The 21,308-nt window shown below is 41.4% G+C and overlaps 1 protein-coding gene and 1 long non-coding RNA gene across 3 annotated transcripts in view; both read right to left on the bottom strand.

Moving 5' to 3' along the window:
- VCL (vinculin) overlaps positions 1-21,308 on the bottom strand; it is a 123,248-nt gene that overhangs the window by 86,694 nt on the left and 15,246 nt on the right. The gene's annotated exons all lie outside the window — the stretch shown is intronic.
- LOC124902455 (uncharacterized) lies at positions 555-6,055 on the bottom strand. Its single transcript, XR_007062197.1, has 2 exons — positions 4,738-6,055; positions 555-4,568 (listed from the first exon to the last, which is right to left on the bottom strand). It is a non-coding gene; the product is annotated as an uncharacterized LOC124902455 (long non-coding RNA).

Here is a 21,308-nt window from a genome sequence, read left to right as displayed (position 1 = left end):
ATCAAGCACTTAATGAGTACTTCCCATGTGGGAGGCACTGTGTCTGTCACTGTGTGATGGGGATACAAAAGTGAGACTCAGTCCTTGTTGTTCGTTGACAAATGCTTAAACAAATAAGGCAATGCAGTGTAATGCATGCTCTAGTAGAGTTACAACCAAGTTTCTGCTCTGCGTAGGTGAGGTACAGGAAGTTTCACAGAGGAAGAGAAACTCTAGGAAGGCAGAATAAGAGTTCTCCAGAAGTAATGGAATTCAAGGTAAAAAGGAGGGCTTTCTAGTTAATAGGGCAAGATATGGGAAAGCATGGCCAGCTCAGGAAACATAGCTGGAAAATGGGGTACTGGGTAGAGAGGAGATGTGGAGAGGACAGGAAATTGGAAAAGCAGAAAGGGGCCACATCATGGAGGGCCTTGTATGCAATGCAATAGACTTATCCTCTAAGCAATGGGGAATTATTTAATTATTCTAAGTAAAAGACATTGTTAGGTCTGCATTTCAAACAGAAAAATTCAGCAGCAAGAATGGATCAGAGCGAAGAAAACTCGGAAGACAAGTTCATTTGTGAATTCATTTATTCAATCAACAAATATTACTTACATAACATGCAATGTACCAAGCATTACAGACAGTGATGAAGAAAACACACATGGCCCCAGATCTCATGGAGCTTACAGTCTTAGTGAAAGATAAACTACAGATTAACTGTAGCAGAAGCAGCAGCAGTGTGAATGGAGATGAGAGGGCAGGTGTAAAAAAGGCAGCCACATGACACTCCATGTGGAGGGTGAGACAGAAATCTAGGATGGCTCCCAGCCCCTGGCTCAAGTGACTGGGTCAATTGGTAACATAGGAAGAAAACCAGCTCTGAGAGGGAAAGTAATTAGCACTGGGATATTCAGAGGGAGTTGTCCAATAAGCAACTGAAAAGATGGTTCCTCAGTTCACTTACCGGGACTAGAAAAATTGATTCACAAGTAACAGGCAACTCAGACGTTCTAAAAGCCATGGATAATGAATGAAATCACGACCCAACACCACCAACAGATAAGTAGCTGGTGGAAGAACAAGCTGGTGAAAAAAGCTGGAAAGAAAATATCAGAGATAGGGGCAGGGGGATCAATAGAACTCTGTCATAAAAGCCAGAAGAATTTCAGGAACAGTCAATAGTGTCAACTGCCACAGAGAGGTTAATGGTGTCGTTAAGACAGTCACAGAGTTGTGCAACCATGACAATTGATTTGTGAACATTTTCATCACTCCAGAAAGAGACCTAGTAACTATTAGCAGTCAACACCACCCCCATTTAGCCCTAACCCTTCCTCACCACCACCTAATCTTAGGTAAACACTAATCTACTTTCTCTCTACAGATTTACTTATTCTAAATATCTGATATAAATAGAATCACATAAGATGTGCTCTTTAGTGACTAGCTTCTTTCATCTGTGCTATGTATCAGTACTTCATTTCTTTTTATTGCCAAATCATATTTCATTGTATGGTTACATCACATTTTGTCCATTCATCAGTTGATGGGCACCTGAGTTGTTTTCATTTTTGGGCTATTATGAATAATGCTGCTATAAACATTAGTGTACAAGGTTTTGTATGAACATGTTTTCATTTCTCTTGGTTATAAACCTAGGTATTCAATTGCTGGGTCATATGGTATCTCTATGTTTAACCATTTGAGGAAATGCCAGACTATTTTCCAAAGAGGCTAAACCATTTAACATTCGCAGCAGCTACATGAGAGGGTTCCAACTTCTCAATATCCCTGGCAACACTTGTTATTATCTTTTTAATTACAGCCCTCCTACTGAAGCGGTATCTCATTGTGGTTTTGACCTGATGGCTAATGATGCTGAGCATCTTTTTATGGGTGTATTGACCATTTATATATCTACTTTTGAGAAATGTCTATTCAGATACCTTGCCAATATATATATATATATATATATTTTTTTTTTTGAGACCGAGACTTACTTTGTTACCCAGGCCGGAGTACAGTGGTGCAATCTGGGCTCACTGCAACCTCCGCCTCCCGGGTTCAAGCGATTCTCCTGCTTCAGCCTCCCAAGTAGCTGGGACTACAGGCATGAGCCACCATGCCTGGCTAATTTTTGTATTTTTTTGGTAGAGACAGGGTTTCATCATGTTGGCCAGGCTGGTCTCAAACTCCTGACCTCAGGTAATCTGCCTGCTTCGGCCTCCCAAAGTGCTGGGATTATAGGCATGAGCCACTGTGCCTGGCCCCTTGCCAATATTTTGAGTTATTTATCTTTTGCAAATATTTTTCCCAGTCTGTGGGTTGTCTTTCCCTTTCTTGATAGTGTCCTTTGCAGCACAAGCTTTTAATTTTGATAAAGGCCAATTTAAGACTAAAATATAGCTTGTCTTTTCCTTTTTCTTTTTTTTTTTTTTTTTTTTATTCTGAAACAGAGTCTCTGTTGCCCAGACTAGAGTGCAGTGGCATGATCACAGCTCACCACAGCCTCTACCTCTTCAGGCTCAGGTGATCCTCCCACCTCAGCCCCCTGAGTAGCTGGAAGTACAGGTGTATACAACCACACCCGGCTTTTTTTTTTTTTTTTTTTTTTTTTTTTGAGATGGAGTTTTGCTCTTGTTGCCCAGGTTGGAGTGCAATGGCGTGATCTTGGTTCACTGCAACCTCTGCCTCCCAGGTTCAAGTGATTCTCCTGCCTCAGCCTCCCAAGTAGCTGGGATTACAGGCACGCACCACCACGCCTGGCTAATTTTGTATTTTTAGCAGAGACTGGGTTTCTCCACGTTGGTCAGGCTGGTCTGGAACTCCTGACCACAGGTGATCCGCCCGCCTCGGCCTCCCAAAGTGCTGGGATTACAGGCATGAGCCACCGTGCCGGGCCACACTCGGCTAATTTTTAGTATTTTTTGTAGAGACAGGGTTTCACCATGGTGACCAGGCTGATCTCGAACTTCTGGGCTCAAGTAATCTGCCTGCGGGGCCTCCCAAAGTGCTGGGATTGCAGCCCAGCTTGTCTTCTTTTGTTGTTTGTGATTTTGGTTGCTTGTGCTTTTTTCCTGTTGTTTTGTTTTGTCTTTTGCTACTTGTGCTTTTGGTGTAACACTTAAGAAGGCTTCATCTAACCTGAGATCATGAAGATTTACTCCCATGTTTTATTCTAAGAATTTTATAGTTTTAGCTCTTATAGTTAGGTCTGTGATCCATTTGGAGTCAATTTTTGTGTATGGTATAAGAAAAGGTCGTCATTTTTTTTAAACTGGAGAAAACCAAGCATACTGATAGGCTACAGGACAAGAGGCAGGAAATAGATTTCTTCTGAAGTCAGATCCCTGAAGAGACAGGGTAAGAATCTGGAGAGAGATACAGAGACTAACCTTTACCAGGAGGAAAGCCACTCTTACCCTAGACAAGGGGGGTGGTGGGGGAAGCAAGTGGAGATGGTGACCTAACTGTAACTGTGGGGTAATGGGCTATATCTTCTTAGGAATTTACAAGGCACATTAGCATAATTGAGGATCTATGATAACCTTCAGTCAGGAAATGTGTTCAGTTTTGTTTAATCCATCATTTTCCAAATTCATGTGACCAAGAATTCCTTATTTCTTAGCACCTATTAATATATGACAGAATTAGGATTTCTAGGACATATGTAGGAAACAGTGATCTAGGCCAAGAGCTGCAAATTAGTGGATTTTGTGTAGAATTTGGGGCAAGGATGGTTTTTGTTTGGTCCACATAGTATTTTTAACCCATTTGTGCCAGAGGTTGCAATTTTTTTGTGTGAAAAATCAGACCTTGGCGATGACCTTGAGCAGTAGGATATAAATAACTCCCACAAGCTTAGCGTTCCAATAATGGAACACTATGCATAAATGAGTTGAAAATCAAGAAATTTCACAAAGATCCAAATTTCTGACATCTCTTAAATCTTAGAAGGTCTGGCAGCAATTTGGATCTGCATTCCATCAAGGAAAAACATTACTGGAACCCAAATGTCCCAAACAGCGCATTTGTACCATGTCCACACTCATAATCTTAATCCCAATTCATTTTACTCATTTATGTCACCACCTGATTCCTGTAACTGAGTTTATCATTTCTATACTAAGCAACCCTCTCAGACGGAAAAGTTCCTGAAGCCATTCTCAGAAACTCCTTATGCATAAACTCCTCTCCCAACATTTTCTTTAATAAATGTGCTCTTCTTGTAAGAGCTATGAGAAAGATTGAGAAGCATTTATGTCAGGAGTGACAAAAAATGCCAGTGTATGGGCCAAGTGCAACACACAGACTATTTTGTTTGACCTGCACAGTATTTTTTAACATGAGAAATTTCACATTAAAAAGAAACAGACTTCTGGGACTTTCTTGACAATTAGGAAGATTTGGTAACATTAGCCCCTGTTTCCATGTGACAACAGTAAGTTGAAGATGGTAGTAACTTCTTCAGTTAGGGCCGGCATTTTCCAGTTAACCACAGTTGCCATCACTCCCCAGTGCTTATAACTGGCCTGATTCACTCATTGCCTATTTGGCTCCTAAGGCATCAGAATTTGTACCACCTGATTAAACAAACAACCTTAATTAGCACAGTGCATTAGGCAAACATCTCAATATCATGAGTGTTAAGTGAAATTTTACTGAAGCCTCAGCTATTTCACTAATAAGGAAACATCCCACTCTCTCCCAAATATATATCCACATTGAAAAAATAACTGGAAGCAAACATACCATGGGAAGTAGAATTTCAGGTGATTTTTATTTTCTTCTTAATCCTTTTCTATACTTTTTCCAGAGTATTTTTTTTAAATCAACTATGTATTGCCTTCATAATCAGAAAAAAACACAAATTAAATTCTAAAATGCATCAACAATATTCTTCATAAATAAAGTCATGAGAAACCTCTAGGGCCTAAAGGTCAAAATTTTAACCAATTGCCCAAAATATTAATTTAAATGTGCATCAATGAGAACACAATCACATAGGCTAGGCAGCAGATGAACCATGTCAGTGGCAAGTTCTGATGTCAAGCAAGCTTATCTGATGCCACATAGTTTCCTTAGAACCAATGTTAAGCTTCCTTGGCAGCAGCTGTTTATTCTAACCCAATATGAGACTCAGTCTGTCAGTTAAGGCTACATAAATGTTAGCAGAGCAACCTTGCTCACCAGATCCCCATTTATGAAGATACCATGACTAAGCTTCTAATGTGCAAACACTTCATCCTCCCCCTCAACTCAAGATTCTTCTGGCCAGGCGCAGTGGCTCACGCCTGTAATCCCAGCACTTTGGGAGGCTGAGGCAGGGGGATCATGAGGTCAGAAGATCGAGACCATCCTGGCTAACACAGTGAAACCCCGTCTCTACTAAAAATACAAAAAATTAGCCGGGCATGATGGTGGGCGCCTGTAGTCCCAGCTACTAGGGAGGCTGAGGCAGGAGAATGGCATGAACCCAGGAGGCGGAGCTTGCAGTGAGCCGAGATCACGCCACTGCACTCCAGCCTGGGTGATAGAGCGAGACTCCATCTCAAAAAAAAAAAAAATTCTTCTGTATGGAGGCACGCCTGTAATCCCAGCACTTTGGGAGGCCGAAGTGGGTGGATCACTTGAGGCCAAGAGTTTGAGACCAACCTAGCCAACATGGTGAAACCCCATCTCTACTCAAAATACAAAAATCGGCTGGGCATGGTGGCACCTAGCTGTAGTCCCAACTACTCCAGGGGCCTCCCAAAATGCTGGGATTACAGGCATGAGCCACTGTGCCCAGCCTAAAGTTTCCATTTTAGTTGCAAACATACATAAGCAAATGCTATGTAACAGAACTCAAAGGTCCCACATCTCCCACCTTTTAGTCCTGACTAGTGACAGGAAATCAAGCAATAATTATGGGAAAATAAAATGAACACCTTTTACTAATAATCTCCTCTAGTTTTTCCAGTGTTCTTAGTTATTAAAAAGATTACTTGCCAGGCGCCATAGCTCACGCCTGTAATCCCAGCACTTTGGGAGGCCAAGGTGAGTGGATCACCTGAGGTCAGGAGTTCGAGACCAGCCTGGCCAACGTGGTAAAACCCCGTCTCTATTAAAAATACAAAAATTAGTTGGGCATGGTGGTGGATGCTTGTAATCCCAGCTACTTGGGAGGCTGAGGCAGGAGAATTGCTTGAACCCGGGAGGCAGAGGTTGCAGTGAGCCAAGATCACGCCATTGCACTCCAACCTGGGTGACAAGAGCGAAACCCTGTCTCAAAAAAAAAAAAAAAAAAAAGATTACTTAAGGCTGGGAGCAGTGGCTCACACCTATAATTCCAGCATTTTGGGAAGCCAAGGCTGGAAGATCACTTGAAGCCAGGAGTTTGAGACCAGCCTGGGCAACATAGCAAGACCCTGTCTCTACAAAAAATAAAAAAAATAAAAAATTAACTAGGTGTGGTGGCTCTTGCCTGTAGTCCTAGCTACTTGGGAGGGTGATCCAGGAGAATCACTTGAGCTGAGAAGATCGAGGCTGTAGTAAGCTATGATTGCACCACTGCACTCTGGCCTGGGCAACAGGGGGAGATCCTGTCTTAAAAAACAAAAACAAACAAAAAAACCCTCAGTCTTATTCCCACTAGTTATAATTAAGTAACCTTTACATATTCATAAATACCGATAAAGAGGAAAACATCACTGGATGATCTGAATATAATCTCTAGTAGATGCTTCAAGTACAAAGCAAATTCTTTTGCAAATTTGTGACTAAGGGTCTGTGACTGTTTTTTTCCCTCATAGCCATGACACATGGTGACTGGCACATAGCATATGCTCAGAAATTAAATGCCAACTGAAGTAAAATGATGAAGATTTAAGATGAAATGAAAATTTAATTTTATCATTTTCATATCTGTGCGCACATGCTCTTTAGCTCCTCAATTCCTTCAAATTCTTATACAATTCACTCAGGAAAACATTCTTTTTATCTTCATTCTTTCTTCAACACATCCATAAACTTCATTTTTTTTTTTTTTTTTTTTTTTTTGAGACAGTCTCGCTCTGTCACCCAGGCTGGAGCGCAATGGCTGCAACATCCGCCCCCCGGGTTCAAGCGATTCTCCTGCCTCAGCCTCCTGAGTAGCTGGGACTACAGGTGCCCGCCACCACACCTGGCTAATTTTTGTATTTTTAGTAGAGGCGGGGTTTCACCATGTTGGCCAGGCTAGTCTTGAACTCCTGACCTCAAATGATTCACCTACCTCGGCCTCCCAAAGTGCTGGGATTACAGGCATGACATCTATAAACTTTAATACTCTATGACTATATGAGGGTGACTAGCTGGGCTCCCACATGTCATTACAAAAAAAAAAAAATGGGTAAATATATTTAAAACGGAAAGCTAAATATTGCCAACAGAAATTAGGTCAACGCTACCACCTGTCCTATCTCTTGCATATGTAATTATTTTTTAAAAGGAAATATGTGTGAATACCATGAAAGTATCCCAGAGCCCCACCAGAATAAAAACAGTCCCCATCTTCTCCCTCACTGCCCTCTAACCGAACGTGCTTTTCTCATTCCACAGAATTTAAAATGCATCCTTATTTTTTCTTTTCTGCTTATAGCTAGAACTGCAAATGCATTTTTTTCCTTAATAGTTTCAGTTCACAAATGTGCAGAATTTCAGTTACATTATAGCTTTTGCAGATAAGCCTGGGCATGTAACCATGTAACATTGTCTCCATGGAAAAGTAACTCCAAACAACCAACTTGTAAACGAATTTTTGAAATGCAACCCATTTTCATGTTAGGAAAATGAGGTCCTACTCCTCATCTTGGAAGGTAATGGAATAGTGGAAAAAGAACTGGGGCTTTGGAATGCAGCAATCTGAATCTCACCTCACTGTGCTGTTACCAGATCTGTGTCCTCTGGCAAGTTACTTAATCTCTTTGAGCCTCAGTCTCCTTATCAGTAAAATGGAAAAAGTAACATCTCTCTCAGAGATAAATGATGTAATACATATGTAAATCACCTAGAATAGGGCCTGGTAGATAACAAGGGCTAAATAAACATTAGTCCCTTTTTCCTTCTCTGCCATTGCAATATTCGTTTGTGATTTCAGTTTTCTCCTTCAAAAAAAAAATTATTTTTCATTTAGCACATGCTGTAAGTCAGGAGCTCTTTATGATCTCATTAAATCTTTACAACTCCCCCATGCGGTGGGTTCCATTTACTATCCCATGCCACAGATGAGGAACAGAGTCACAGAGAAGTTTGTCAATTTGCCTAATATTGATGCAGAAGCTAGAAAGAAATTATTTAGGCAGTTGGTGAGGGTAAAAGAGTTCTCAGCAAGGTTTCCCTTTTAATAAAAAGCAGCCCCCAAATCATTTCTTTTCTAACAAAGACCACCCTGAAAAATCGAGCTGCAGACATAGAAAAGCATGCTAAAACTTGCATGGGTGAATGCCAGCAGCTATGCCAATAGGAAAAGGCTACCTGGGGGCCAGGCATGTTCAACATGGAGGCTCCATCTTCCCTTTTCTTTTTCAACCATGTGTACAATAAAGAAACAGGCAATATGATGCAGGCCAGGTAGAGAACCATCTGCATAATAAAACATTAGCTTCTTTGCATGCTATGTAAATGACACACCTGGTCCAACCAATCTTTTGGGCCCTATGTAAATCAGACACTGCCTCCTCAAGCTCATTTATAAAACTCCGTGCATTTCATCATGGAACTGGTAACCCATTTTTCTCCAGGATCCCTCTCTGGGCTGAGAGCTCTTCTCTTTCTTTTGCCTATTAAACTTCCACTCTTAACCTCACTCTGGTGTGTTCACATCCTTGATTTCCAGCAATGAACCTCGGGTATTACCCAAGATAAGTGACATTGCTTCAATTATCACTCAAATAGTAATGATGATCTCAGCACACCTACACTCTAATCCTAAACCTCCCTCCTCCCTCCCTCCCTCCCTTCCTTCCTCCCTCCCTCCCTCTCTCCCTCCCTGCCTCCCTTTCTCCCTCCCTTCTTTCTTTCCCCCTCCCCTCCCCTTCCCTTTCTTTTTTTTGACAGGGTTTTGCTCTGTCACCCAGGCTGGACTGCAGTGGGGCAATCTCAGCTCACTGCAACCTTGACCTTCCGAGCTCAATCAATCCTCCCACTTCAGCCTCCCGAGTAGCTGGAACTATAGACGCACACCACCACACTCAGCTAATTTTTGTATTTTCAGTAGAGGTGGGGTTTCATCATGTTGCCTAGGCTGGTCTCAAACTCCTGGCCTCAAGCAATCCTCCCACCTCCGCCTCCCAAAGTGTGAGCCACCACACCCAGCCATACTGTGTCTTTTTAAAATAAGAAGAGTGGGGCCAGGCACCATGGCTACGCCTGTATTCCCAGCATTTTGGGATGCTGAGGTGGGTGGATCACCTGAGGTCAGGAGTTTGAACCAGCCAGGCCAACATGGTGAATCCCCGTCTCTACTGAAAATACAAAAAATTAGCCAGGCATGGTGGTGCACACCTGTAATCCCAGCTAGTTGGGAGGCTGAGACAGGAGAATCGCTTGAACCCAGGAGGCAGAGGTTGCAGTGAGCTGAGATCGTGCCATGCCTGGGTGACAGAGCAAGACTTTGTCTCAAAAAAGTAATAAAATAAAATAAAATAAAATGAGAGTGGGATTCAATTATGTCTAATATTTTTGGCTGTTATATTGTGTGATTCTGTAACTCTACAGCACTATCAGATGGCAAGAAGGACAAGAAAAACTTCAAGTACACAATGGGCACATATAAACCATCAAGATGCAGTCTAACCAACTGATGTCCCATTGTCCTGGTTCTTCCCAGAAGCTGGAAGGTTTCCACAGCCAAGATCAGTTAGGCTTAACTAGGGCTTCAGCTCCTTAACTGTTATTTGCTTAGGCATGATCAGCTGAGTCAGCCTGGCCTTAAGTAACTTTTAAAATTGAACCAGTACTGACCAACACTGTAGACCCCCCATTTTTTAAATTACAGGTGTGATGAAAACTTGAAATGGTAACACAATGGCAAAAGTCTTTTTTTTTTTTTTGAGATGGAGTGTCACGTTGCTCTTGTTGCCTAGAGTGCAATGGTGCAATCTCAGCTCACTGCAACCTCTGCCTCCCGAGTTCAAGCAATTCTCCTGCCTCAGTCTCCCGAGTACCTGGTACTACAGGCGCCTGCCACCATGCCCGGCTAATTTTTGTATTTTTAGTAGAGACAGGGTTTCACCACGTTGGCCAGGCTGGTCTCGAACCCCCGACCTCAGGTGATCCTCCCACCTTGGCCTCCCAAAATGCTGGGATTACAGGCATGAGCCACTGCGCCCAGCCGGCAAAAAGTCTTTAAATGCATTTACTAACGTTGACCATTCTGCTTGCTAATTGGAGATTATTCAGTCACTTTTACAATATAGTAATTGAATTTGGCTCCAGGCCATAATAAACATTCTGACCCATTAAATTAAGGCTACAAGCAAAATCACTCTATTCCTTTGCTCAAGCTACAAACACATTTCTCACAGGCAGCCACAGGCAGAATATTATAAGTTTTATAATATTCATGTGTCAAATGGCAAGACCTCCAATTAAAATGCTCATAGAAAAGAGTAACCTTTATGATATCTGTACTTCCAAAGTTACACCTTTAGGCTTTTTTTTCTTAATGTTTTTTCCTTTTCAACTACTGCAAACACAATTTAGTGTGACTACATATGAGCTGGGCATGGACTCAGTTCTGAAGTTGCTGAAAAGTGAAAGAAGAGAACAGCTACAGCACTTCCAGAGCATGCTGGCTGAGATGTATTGATAGAAAATAAGCTGTAAACCAGCTCCAGCAATACTATTTGTGTTTGTGCCTTTTGCAGATTGTATTTCATCACTGCTCTTCATAGAACATTAATAGATTAGACACAGCCTTTGGTCTAAAACAAGAAAAAGACTTTTATAGAAATGTTAACTTCATTTCCTTTTGTTTCACTTGCTTACCAATATAAAACATCAATACTGCAGCCTAGATATTGAACAGTTGCCACGGACAACCAAACTCATTAGTAAATTAGGCTATACCATCTCAGATAACTTATTCCCAGTTAGGCAAAAGGAATAATCAGAATTAGTCAGAATTGAGAGAATTACAGTATACTAGAGAGTTCATTGGTTTATCCAGTTTGTCACTGTTTTAAGTACAGTCATACATTGCTTAATGACAGGGATATATTCTGAGAAATGTGCTTTTAGACAATTTTGTCATTGTGTGAACATCATAGAGTATACTTACACAAACCTAGACGGTATAGCCTACTACATGCCGAGGCTTTATGGCATAGCCACTGCTCCTAGGCTACAAACCTGTATAGCATGTTACTGTTCTGAATACTGTAGGCAACTGTAACACGATTGTAAGTATTGGTGTATCTAAACATAGAAAAGGTACAGTGAAAATATATTATTATCTTATGGTACCATCATCACATATGCAGCCTTTTGTTGAAACCTCATTACCCACAACTGCATTAAAGACAGTGCAGGCAAAGCACGTACACACTAAGCTACAATCCTTTTATCTTCATTCCTCAATAAATATCAAGTTCACTTCTAATGATTCATTAAAGAACAACACAAGTCTATATTTGGTTCATAAATGAAAACCATCTGAAACTAAGAGTTTAGGTGGGAGATATATAACAGCAGAGAGTCCCTGGAGATCTAGAGACAATGTGGGCCAGGCACAGTGGCTCACATCTGTAATCCCAGCACTTTGGGAGGCCGAGGCAGGTGGATCACCTGGGGTCAGGAGTTTAAGACCAGCCTGGCCAACATGGCGAAACCCCTTCTCTACTAAAAATACAAAAAAAATTTAGCCGGGTGTGGTGGCACGCACCTGTAATCCCAGCTACTAGGGAGGCTGAGGCAGGAGAATTGCTTGAACCTGGAAGGCGGAGGTTGCAGTGAGCCGAGATCGTGTCATTGCACTCCAGCCTGGGCAACAAGAACGAAACTCCGTCTCAAAAAAAAAAAAAGACATTACGGACACTGAAGTTTTATTTACTTATTTATTTATTTATTTATTTATTTATTTATTTATCTTTATTCTTATTGTATTTTATTTTTTCTTGAGACGGAGTCTCGCTCTGTCACCCAAGCTGGAGTTCAATGGCGCAATCTTGGCTCACTGCAACTGCTGCCTCCTGGGTTCAAGCAATTCTCCTGCCTTAGCCTCCGGAGTAGCTGTAACTACAGGTGCGTGCCATCATGCCCGGCTAATTTTTGTATTTTTAGTAGAGATGGGGTTTCACCATGTTGACCAGGCTGGTCTTGAACTCCTGACCTCAGGTGATCCACCCACCTCAGCCTCCCAAAGTGCTGGGATTACAGGCATGAGCCACCGTGCCTGGCCTGAAGTTTTAATTTTGAATAACTTCTTGTGTCTCAAAATATTCATCTTCTGTTTTTTTCCCAAAATATTTTTAAATGCAAACACTATTCTTAGCTCCTGGACAGTTAAAAACACAGGCTATAGTTTGCTGACTTCTGCTCTCCATAGAGAAATAATACAATCAGAAAGGGGTTAGGGATGTGATAGCCCTGAAGAGCTAGAATAAGGAATTTAAATTAATCTGGAAGACTGGGGACAAGGCATAGGTTTCTGAGCAAGAACCTTTTGAGATCAGAGCTATACTTAAGAAAGATTTACTTGGCAGTAATGGAAAGGAAGGAGAGATTAGAAGATAACAATCAGCCTAATCCAGACTGGTTGCTTTGAGGAAAAAAAGAAGAAAAAAGATGTAAAAGGAAAGATCAACGGAACATTTGTTGGAAAAAAAAAGAAGAGGAATGGTTTATTTATCTGGCAAGAATAAGTAAAAGGTTCAATCTCTAGACAAGAAGGAGAAAAAAGGAGATTTTTGCATTCTCATTCTCTAGTGCTATCATTATAGTATATAACTTCAGCAGACTAACTGAGGAATTTGCCTTTTTACAGAAGCTTTAGAACAGCCCAAGTTGGAGCTTCCAGTTCAGAGACAGAGTCTTCTGGTATATGTCAGTTGAAATGTGGCAATCATGTTTTGGTTTTACAGATGTAATAGGTATGGTAGTTCCAGAGATGGTTTATTTATTTATGGCCCTGTTTACTCCAGAGAGTTCCCAAATTAGGCAAGAGTATTCATATGGCTTACATAGATATATCATTGCCTTCGGAAGTTTTAAGTCATTCTTCTATGACTCAGAATTTTTATCTATCTTTTCTTGTTCTGACAGGGAAAAAAAAAAACTGCAGTGCTGAAAATGCAACCAATTCAACATTGAAGTCTGTAACTACTCTCATTCTACGGACTCAAATTTGGAAGCTGGGTAGGGGGGTCAGAGAAAGGAGGGGTGGAAACAGACACGAACACAATTAGTTCTAATTCATGATAACAACCATAGTCAAATATTTTAGTAACACAGCAAAGGGAGAGAGCTTCCCTTTGCTGAGCAGCCTGGGAAGAGCTTCATGAAGAGAGTGACATCTGCACTGGGCCCATTCTAATGAGAGAGGAAGGGCAACTCCAGGCAGTGGGAAGAGTACAAACAATAACGAAAAGATGGAGGGGAAATACGGAACTTATTTCTCTTATTTCCAAAGTGGCACATGTTCATTGTTAGGGTAAAAGCACAAACTATGGTCAGAAAAAGTTTTTCATTAAAACAATTATTTAACCTGAAATCCTACCATTCAATCCCGCCACCATTTTAGTATGCACTCTTCCACACATACATCATAAACAGATTACCCTACTGTTTTATCTCTCGCTCTCTTTTTTTTTTTTTTTTTTTTTGAGACAAGGTCTTGCTCTGTTGCCCAGGCCAGAATGCAGTGGGGCGATCATGGTTCACTGCAGCCTCAACCTCCAGGGCTCAAGTGACCCTTCTGCCTCAGCCTCCTGAGTAGCTGGGACTACAGGTGTGCACCACCATGCCCACCTAATTTTTGTATTTTTTGTAGAGACAGGGTTTCGCCATGTTGCCCAGGCTGCTCTCAAACTCCTGAGCTCAAGTGGTCCACCCACCTCGGTCTCCCAAGGTGTTGGGATTACAGGCATGAGCCACCAAGTGATTGACCCTGTTTTTTCTTACTAGCATAGATATCTGTCCCTCCCAGCTTGGAATACATATCAGAGTCATTAAAAAACACTGGCATTCCTGAATTCAAGCCCTTTCCTTATGCGCCATCCTTTGAGCTCTCACTTCAACTAGATTGTGTTTTCTTGCAGCATCTCTCTAGGTGGATCCATGCTACCAGCTATTGTATTTAGTTTTTCTTTTTCCAAGTGAGATCAAAAAGGTTAAGGCATGACTTCTTTCATATTCAGCTTCAATAAAATCATTGATGAGATCTTTTAGATTTAATAAGAATTCTAGGTTTTCTGCCCTGCATCTCAAAGTAAGCTCATTTGCATAATAAAAATATTTGCACTCCGACACCACCAATTACTGGCTCGGGACAAGTTACTCAAATGCTTTCAGCCTTAGTTTCCTTACCTGTAAAATAGAGATAATAACCACATAGTGCTCCCCTGAAAATAAATTAGTAATTTTTTTCTTTTTTTTTTTTTGAGACGGAGTTTCACTCTTGTTGCCCAGGTTGGAGTGCAATGTCGCGATCTCGGCGCACTGCAACCTCCAAGTCCTGGGTTCAAGCAATTCTCCAGCCTCAGCCTCCTGAGTAGCTGGGATTACAGGCGCCCGCCACCACGCCCGGCTAATTTTTGTATTTTTAGTAGAGAAAGGGTTTCACCATTTTGGCCAGGCTGGTCTCAAACTCCTGACCTCAGGTGATCTGACCATCTCAACCTCCTAAAGTGCAGGGATTAGAGGCGTGAGCCATCACACCGGGCCAATTAGTTATTTTTAAAACATTTACTTTACTGATTCATTTTCAAAATCGAGAACACTATGAATCCAAATATAAATTAAGTAATAATGAGTCTATCTCTAGAATTTATCTTTTCTTTTTCCTCCCTCTCCCTCTTGTACTCTACACATGCTGCAGATGTGTCTTTTCTCTATCTGCACTCCTACCACTGCCTGAAGGCAGCTCTTACTACCTCTTGCTTGAATGGATGGCTCTCCAACCCCAGTGTCTCACCAGCGCTCCAATCTATCTTCCTCAATACTACCAGGATTATTTTACCAAAATTTTATACATCAGCTTAAACACCTCTGTTTCGGGAGGGGAACATCACACACTGGGGCCTGTAGGGGGATGGGGGACAAGGGGAGGGAGAGCATTAGGACAAATACCTAATGCATGCGGGGCTTAAAACCTAGATGATGAGTTGATAGGTGTAGCAAACCACCATGGCACATGTATACCTATGTAACAAACCTGCATGTTCTGCATGTGTATCCCAGAACTTAAAGTAAAATAAAGTAAAAATAATAATAATACAAGATTTCTCTGTTTTCTAACATCCAATGCTTAGTATGTTCCTCTTCTAGAAATTATCCTGTAAATGTACTTGCACATACGTAAACTGACATATTTGTGTCATTCTTTGCCATGTTGTCTGAAACAGCAACAGATCACAAATAACCTTCCATAAGGGTCTAGTTTAATAAATTATCTACAACCATCAAGGGACTATTATTTAACTGTCAAAAGAAGAGAAAGTTCTGTAGATACAAGCAAGAAATGTTCCCCAAAACATGCAAAGGATGAAAAAAAAATCAAGAAACAGGACAAGACAGTATAACAGGTCTTCATTTGTATGAAAGGGGACTAGTTACTGCCAGATTGTGCACAAACTATCTCTAGAAGCATATCCAAGACATTGGGTTTCTTAAGTGCATCGGTTTCCTATGAGGAGGGAAACTGGGTGGCTGGAGTTCAAGGGGGAAAGGGAGACTTTTCACTGTATACCTTTACCTTTTAAATTTTGAACCAGGTGAATCCTATACCTATTCAAAAACTGAAGTTAGTTTTGTTTTTTTTAACTGATTTATGTCGTCTGAGTCCCTTCACAAGGGACACAATCCACCTTAACAGTCTCATTACTAAAGCTTCCCCATTCCCTAACTGCACATTCACACCCTTGTATCTTTGTATTCACTCTGCACAGAAGGTATTCCCATTTTCTCTGGCTGGCAAACTTCCTCATGCTTCAAACACTGCCTCTCTAAAGTGGAATGAACTTCCCTTCCTGCCTTACTGCCATATTATGCAAAAGGGCCTTTGGCCTGCTTTCATTCCATGTTTGCTCCTTGGCATCAGAGGCTAAGTTCACAGTCCTAGCCCAAGTCCGTCAGAAGCTTACATTCCAGCTGGGCACGGTGGCTTACACCTGTAATCCTAGCACTTTGGGAGGCCAAGGCAGGTAGATCACATGAGCCCAGGAGTTCAAGACCAGCCTGAGCAACATGGTAAAACCCCATTCTATAAAATAAAATAAAATAATACACATATATATATGTATTTATATATATATATATATATATATATCCTATATATATCCTCACATTTTACCAGATTTTTTTTTCTTTTTGAGACAGAGTCTCGCTCTGTTGCCCAGGCTAGAGGGCAGTGGCACGATCTCCAGCTCAAGCAATCCTCCCACCTCAGCCTCCCAAGTAGCTGGGACTACAGGCATACACCACCACGCCTAGTTAATTTTTATACTTTTTGTAGAGAAGGAGTTTCGTCATGTTGCCCAGGCTGGTCTCGGACTTCTACGCTCAAGCAATCTGCCTGCCTCAGCCTCCCAAAGTGCTGGGATTACAGGCATGAGCCACCTTACCCAGCCTTCACCAGATTTTAAAGGTGCCTTGCTATTCTCGCTCTGGTATTAAGCTCTTATAGTTTCTATACTCCAAGAAAAACAACAAGAACAACAAGAAATGACAATTTTAAGTATAATAAAATTGTATGTGTATAATATATACACATACACACAAAAATTAGCCAGACATGGTGGCATGCACCTGTAGTAGTCCCAGCTACTTGGGAGGCTGAGGTGGGAGGATGGCTTGAGCCTGGGAGGTTGAGGTTGTAGTGAGCTGAGATCATACCACTGCACTCCAGCCTGGGCAACAAAACCAGACCCTGTCTCAAAAAAAAAAAAAGAAAGAAAGAAAGAAAAAGCAGCAGCAGCAGCTTACACCCTTCAGAGACAGAGTTCAGGCCTCTTAAGATATTAAACATATGATGAAATAGCAGCATTATTCACAATAGCCAAAAGGTGGAAGCAATCCAAATGTCCATCAATGGATGAATGGGTAAACAAATGTGGTATGCACATACAATGGAATATAATTCAGCCTTAAAAAGGAAGGAGGCCGGGCGCGGTGGCTCACGCCTGTAATCCCAGCACTTTGGGAGGCCGAGGCGGGCGGATCACGAGGTCAGGAGATCGAGACCATCCCGGCTAAAACGGTGAAACCCCGTCTCTACTAAAAATACAAAAAATTAGCCGGGCGTAGTGGCGGGCGCCTGTAGTCCCAGCTACTTGGGAGGCTGAGGCAGGAGAATGGCGTGAACCCGGGAGGCGGAGCTTGCAGTGAGCCGAGATCCCGCCACTGCACTCCAGCCTGGGCGACAGAGCGAGACTCCGTCTCAAAAAAAAAAAAAAAAAAAGGAAGGAAATTCTGACATATGCTACAACTTGGATGAACCTTGAAGACATTATTCTAAGTGAAATAAGCCAATCACAAAAGGACAAATACTATATGATTTCACTTATATAGAGCATATCATATACTATATGTTATACAGTATATACAAACACTGTATGATTCCACTTACATAGAGTAGTCAAATTCACAGAGACAGAAAGAATGGTGGTTGCTGGGCTAGGAGGAATGAGAAATAGGGAGTTTAGTTGGGGAAAATAAAAAGGTTCTGGAGGTATGTGATGGTAATGGTTGCACAACAATGTGAATGTACTTAATGCCACAGATCTATACACTTAAAAATGGTTAAAATTGTAAAGCTAATATTATGTACATTTTACCAAAATTAAAAAAGAGTGAGAGACTCTTGCAGCCTCAAAACAATAAGATTATCCTCACATTTCACCAGATTTTTTTTTCTTTTTGAGACAGAGTCTCGCTCTGTTGCCCAGGCTAGAGGGCAGTGGCACGATCTCCAGCTCAAGCAATCCTCCCACCTCAGCCTCCCAAGTAGCTGGGACTACAGGCATACACCACCATGCCTAGTTAATTTTTATACTTTTTGTAGAGAAGGAGTTTTGTCATGTTGCCCAGGCTGGTCTCGGACTTCTACACTCAAGCAATCTGCCTGCCTCAGCCTCCCAAAGTGCTGGGATTACAGGCATGAGCCACCTTACCCAGCCTTCACCAGATTTTAAAAGTGCCTTGCTATTCTCTCTCTGGTATTAAGCTCTTATAGTTTCTATACTCCAAGGAAAACAACACGAACAACAAGAAATGACAATTTTAAGTATAATAAAAGAACAAGAGACTATCAAAACTGAAGCAGATTTTGAAAAAGATCCAAAGGGAATTATAGAAGGGAAAAAGACTGTCATTTAGGCTGGATGTGGTGGCTCATGCCTGTAATCCCAAGACTTTGGGAGGCCCAGGCAGGAGGATCCCTTGAGCTCAAGAGTTCAAGACCAGCCTGGGAAACACAGGGAGACCCCATTATTTACAAAAGCAAATAAATAAAAAGAAAAAAGGCTGAGCGTAGTGGCTCATGCCTATAATCCCAACACATTGGGAAGCTGAGGTGGGCAGGTCACTTGAGGTCAGGAGTTCAAGATCAGCCTGACCAACATGGTAAAACCCTGTCTCTACTAAAACTACAAAAATTAGCCTGATGTGGTGGTGGATGACTGTAATCCCAGATACTTGGGAGGCTGAGGCAGGAGAATCGCTTGAACCTGGGAGGCGGAGGTTGCAGTGAGCCAAGATCGCACCACTGCACTCTAGCCTGGGCAACAGAGTGAGACTTCCTCTCAAAAAAAAAAAGAAAAAGAAAGAAAAAAAGGAAAAGACTGTCATTTAAATTAAAAATGCAGTGAATGGATTAAATGGCATATTAGAAACTACTACACAAGAATTAGCAAACTGGAAGAACTAAAGAAATTACCAAGTGGGAAATATAAACTTTTTTTTTTTGGAGACAGAGTTTCCCTCTGTCACCCAGGCTGGAGTGCAGTGGCACTGCAACCTCCACCTCCCGCATTCCAGCGATTCTCCTGCCTCAGTCTCCCGAGTAGCTGGGATTACAGGCGCAAGCCACCACGCCCGGCTAATTTTTCGTGTTTTTAGTAGAGATGGGGTTTCACCATGTTGGCCAGGTTGGTCTCAAACTCCTGACCTCAAGCGATCCACCCGCCTGGGCCCCCCAAAGTGCTGGGATTACAGGCGTGAGCCACAGGGCCTGGCCAAAAATTGTTTTAATATCCTTTTATTACTCAGGAGAATAGTAGAAATGCTAATTAATTTAAGACTTTGAAATTAAATATGCATAGCAAAAAACTTCTTGAAAGACTAGAAATACTGAGTATAACCTCTAAACTAGTAGTTAAGGTCTCCTAATCTCACTTTTCAACTCTATTACTCCTATATTTGGTAGGAATCTGAAAGCGATTCTATCCCTTTTTTCAGACAAGAGAAATTAAGTTAGTCTAGTATCCGGAATAGAATGTACTCATTAAATATTTGATAAGCTGCTGGGCATGGTGACACACCTGTAATCCCAGCACTCTGGGAGGCTGAAGTGGGAGAATCGCTTGAGCCCAGGAGTTCAAGACCAGCTTGGGCAACATGGCAGAAACCCCATCTCTACAAAAAATACAAAAATTAGCCAGGTATGGTAGTGCACGCATGTAGTCCCAACTACTCAGGAGACTAATGCAAGCTTGAGCCTGGGAGGTGGAGGTTGCAGTGGGCTGAGATCACACCACTGCACTTCAGCCTGAACAACAGAGTGAGACCCTGTCTCAAAACTAAATTGGCTGTTCCAGAATATGATGAATTGTATTTCACAAATGCATAATATTTCTCAACTCTACCTGGAAAGCTGGTTCTATCTTATTACTTCAGTGAATGGCCTGGGTACCTCTTTGGGATTTTCGTTTTGCTTTTTTTCTTTTTTTTTTTTTTTAAGAAAATAGGACACTGGCCGGGCATAGTGGCTCATGCCTGTAATCCCAGCAATTTGGGAGGCTGAGGCGGGTGGACTGCTTAAGTCCAGGAGTTCAAGACCAGCCTGGGCAACATGGGAAAACCCCGTCTCTGCTAAAAATACAAAAAAAATTAGCCAGGCATGGCTGTACATGCTTGTAGTCCTAGCTACTGGGGAGGCTGATGTGGGAGAATCACCTGAACTCAGGAGGTTGAGGCTGCAGTGAGCCGAGATTGAGCCATTGCACTCCAGCCTGGGTGACAGAGTGAGACCCTGTCTCCAAAAAAAGAACAGAAAAGAAAGAAAAGAAAAGAGAAAAGACAATTAATGCTTGAGTTAAAACCCTAAATCCTAAACCCTAATTCTTGCTTCAAATTGGAAAATATATATATACTTTTTCCCTCACTATTGCTTCTAACAAAATAAATATAAATTAAAAATTTAGATGTCTATCTTTAATCATGGGAAACTGGCAATCAAAGGTTCAAGCACCTAAAACTGTGATATTTTCCCCACAGTTGGTAAAACTGTATATTCCACAACATATGGAATTCTACTGAAAGCTTTCATTGGCATTTTGCCTTGTTGAATAAAAGTTAGAAGCTATGCTTAGACATTTTTTTTTTAAATCAACACTGCCTTTTCATTAGACTAACGTTTAAAATATGACTTAAAATCATGGGAAAATATAGTAATGATAAAATCTAACACTCATAAAGCTCTTAGCTCTGTGTCAGGAATAGTTATAAACATTTTAATGAACTAATTTAACCCACACAACAACAACATTATCAGCCAGGTACTATCTTTACCTTTGTTTTACATAGGAGGATCAAGAGAAATGGAGATTAAATAACTTCCCCAATGTTACCTATCTCGAAGGTGTCAACAATGGGATTTTAAAATAAGGAGTTTAATGCTTAACGATTATACTACTGTACTGCTTCCCAAAATTTTTATCATGTGCTGATTATCATATGCTGATTTATCTAGTATCTATATCTAAAGTGTGACTTTGGTATTTGCTAACTCATACTACCACATTTTGCCAAAGATGGCTATTCTGCTCATTTGCAAAAGATCAAAACTAATAGAGAATTCTACATCCATGTTTATTTTTTTATTCACACTTACATATTCTGTATAATCCTGTGCTGGGCTGTGCAGG

Source organism: Homo sapiens, chromosome 10 (genome assembly GCF_000001405.40).
Source record: "Homo sapiens chromosome 10, GRCh38.p14 Primary Assembly".
In the NCBI taxonomy this organism is placed as follows: Eukaryota; Metazoa; Chordata; class Mammalia; order Primates; family Hominidae; genus Homo; species Homo sapiens.
This window is presented reverse-complemented; position numbering and strand designations above follow the sequence as displayed.